Consider the following 3,201-nt stretch of genomic DNA (forward strand, 5'->3'; position numbering starts at 1 on the left):
AGGAGTTTGAAAGATTCATTTCACAAATGCTATTTCCTTTGCACTTGTTCCACCCGCCCCCCGCCCACAATTCTTAAGGGCAGGTGCACCAGAAACCATGATGTTTATGGCATTCTCTCTCATCCAGTAACTCCCAAACCAAACTGAAAAGATGCCAGACAGTCTTCCCTGTATACCATGGTTTCTTTCAGGGTTTTTGATACTGAATGAGAAAATGATGATGTGTGGGTTAGAGTCAGACTGAAACTGGGCCATCGGCTCCTTGTCTGAGGAAATGTCGTGTCCTGGCGGAGGGAGCGTGGAACCGCTTTCTGGCCTGAGCTGGGCTCTTGGGACAGAGTTGGCAAATGGCTTCACTTCTCTGGGTCTCAGATTTTCCCTCATGAAGTAGGAGGAATGGGGAGCACTAGATGGAAGCAGGCAGATAACTTCTGGAGCTGAGGCTGGCGTCCGCCTAGGGCCCCGGGCCCCACCCGCACGGGTAAGCTGAGCCTCTGAGGGGGTCTGCGATGGGACTCACATGAGCCACACAACACCCCCGTTCTCCTGCCGATATCCGCCCACACTCTGGGAGCTCCTGGGGGCAGGAACAGCCTTATATCTCCCCCCACCCCCAACAGCACCAGGCACATCTCTGTTGTCTATAAGGTGTCGATCTAACATATCCACAGCCTAGCCCCTGTTGTAGGAGTAAGGATATCAGGGGTAGGATACCTACCACACTGTGTCCTAGCAGCCTGGTTGCTCATCTGTCTTTCCAATTACTCTCATCTCCAGAAGCTAGCATGGTGCCTAGCTCTGGGTGCCATTCAGTAAGTTCCACAAAGACCAAGAATGAGCTCCTATACTTAGGAAGTTTCTGCTGCGTACCAGCCACCATCTCACCATTTCATTTAATGCAACAATCCTAGGACATCAACTCTATGATTGTTCCCACTTTCCAGATGAGAAGCCCGGTGCTTAAGAGGTTCACATTGTGCCTATGATGCACAGCTTTTGAGCAGAGCCAGGATGCAAATCAGGCCCATCAGCCTCTAGAATGTGCACCTTCACCCCCACAGTGAGGGAATGAAGCTGCCTTGTTCCATTAAGGTGATGGAGGGAGGATGGAGGAGCAGAGAGACCGCAAGAAGCCAGGGGCCTGACAGGCACCTATGCCCTGGAAGCCTGATTCACCTCTGGACTTTCAAGTTACACAAGCAGGTAAATGTCTTTATCCTTTAAGCCATTTTTGACTGACTTTTGACTGTTTGCAACAAAAGCACCAGCAAGCTGGATATGAGATTCCTCATCCACCACTACCTCCTCTGCTTACAGATTATTTATAGATGTGCTTCTTTTCTGGAGAAAAATATTCTTTAATGAAATTTTCATTGATATTTATCTTACACTACTCGGAAATCAAACCATATCAGTAGATTACTTTAATCATCAGTAGATGATTAAAAAGGCACTCACATGCCTTTTTGTTTTTGTGATTTTTTTTCATCTTTTAACTTCTGTGTTTATTTCATGCTCCTAAGAGTTTATGAAAGTCTCCCACTCCACATCAACACAGAGGTAACATTTATTTCTCAGTGGTGCATTCCAAGAATAGTCTGTGTTTGCAAAGCCCTCTTACGCTCATTTCTGAGCTCATTTATTTATTTAAGAGCTGCACAATCCCAGCCTTGTCCTGTAGTGGAAAGAGATTCTACCACGTTCAGATAGCAATGACTGGTTTAGAAATGATTTGTCTTAGTCCAAGCCAAAGTCTCTTCTGCATCCTTGATTATGTCTAAATGATGCTCTTATCCTTAAACAGAACCCACTTTCTTAGTCCACCAGGAAGCACTTGATTTATTTACCAGCTCCAGGGAAGGGAGGAAGCAGCCGTCCAAAGGGTAATCACACAGCCAGGTGAGCTGCCACTGAGCTGTGGCCCGGGAGAAAATGGTTTTAAGTGCTGAACGGGTTTGGTGTCGTGCCAGCCTGCTTGCTAAGGAACTCGCTCAGTCCTGCCTGGGAAATTAGATGGGCAGGCAAGTAAGTATTCAGAACGCTTCCAAAGGGGGACACAGGCAGCTGTCATTGTCCTGGCCACGGGAGACAGTCACAAGGGGACAGTGCTCACAGCACATGTGACCTGGAGAAGAGAGACCCAGGAGAGTGCAGTTGTTCACAGCAATCCAGCCCTCAAGGGTAGAGAGCCTGAGGCTCCTCCTGGATCCATAAAGAACTGGTTTCCCTAATGAGTGGCTTGGATGATTCATTTAAGGGACAAGTACAGCCAGTGAACAAGATGGAAGCACCAGATGTCTTAAGGCAGACAGATATCTTGATTGAGTCTCCATAGGACAGATGACCACCCTGGCCCATCAGGTCCTGAGATGCCACACCCCAGCTATGTGGATTAAGGGGGCACTTTCCCTGAGAGTTGGCCAGAGCTCTAAAAAGAATTCCAGGTACAGATGCAAGATTACAAATTAATAGGACAGCTCTTAAAACTTCATTCATTCACTGAAGCCTGCTATGCACCAGACAACATGTTGGGTTCCAGGGACGCAATGAGAGAGAGAGAGTTGGGCAAGTTGGGGAGAGTGTGTGTGTTGCAAGCCTAATGACAATTTAAGTATGCTAACCTAGCTCCTTATTCAAAGGCATGTTATAATTCCTCTCCTAAAATGAAAATGTTCTGATTTAAAGCTATCCCTCTATTTAATACTTAAACACTGGAGGGTTCAAGAAATAGGCTGACCTGAGGGTTTAGGAAGCCTCAGAGTAGCTGGATTCAGCTTTTGAGACTCCCTGAATGGGATTCTACAGATGCAGGACCAGGGCCCACACCATCCCCTGAGTGACAGGGCAGCCACAAGCATCCTCCACTTCCCTAGCTCCAACACCACTTCCTGACTTGCTCCATGTGAATCTCTACCACTCACTGTGACATGTCCTGCAAAGTCCATTTGCGGCCACAGGGTCCACCCACTTCTCTGTGGATGAAAGAGGGTGGGGATTCCTGGAGGAATTAGGGTATCAGGCCTCTCCAGAGCTGCAGCTTGCAAACAAGAAGCAAAATAGACGAGAGATCAGGTAGCAGAGGGAGTGAAGGAAGTGACATGAATGGCTGGAATCATTCCTAGTCTCCACTCCAAAGATCTGCATTCTCTGGTGGGTCCAAGAGTCTGTATTTTTAACTCCTGGGTGATTCTGATGCAGCAA

The 3,201-nt window shown here is 47.6% G+C and overlaps 1 annotated feature.

Annotated features, from left to right (window-relative positions):
• Positions 473–998: an enhancer, noted in NCBI's record as "H3K4me1 hESC enhancer chr13:26998629-26999154 (GRCh37/hg19 assembly coordinates)". NCBI's record gives its function as "activates a minimal SCP1, AML or CMV promoter by ChIP-STARR-seq in naive H9 embryonic stem cells {active_cell/tissue: H9 hESC(naive)}" and the evidence as "EXISTENCE:reporter gene assay evidence [ECO:0000049][PMID:30033119]".

Source organism: Homo sapiens, chromosome 13 (genome assembly GCF_000001405.40).
Source record: "Homo sapiens chromosome 13, GRCh38.p14 Primary Assembly".
Classification (NCBI taxonomy): Eukaryota; Metazoa; Chordata; class Mammalia; order Primates; family Hominidae; genus Homo; species Homo sapiens.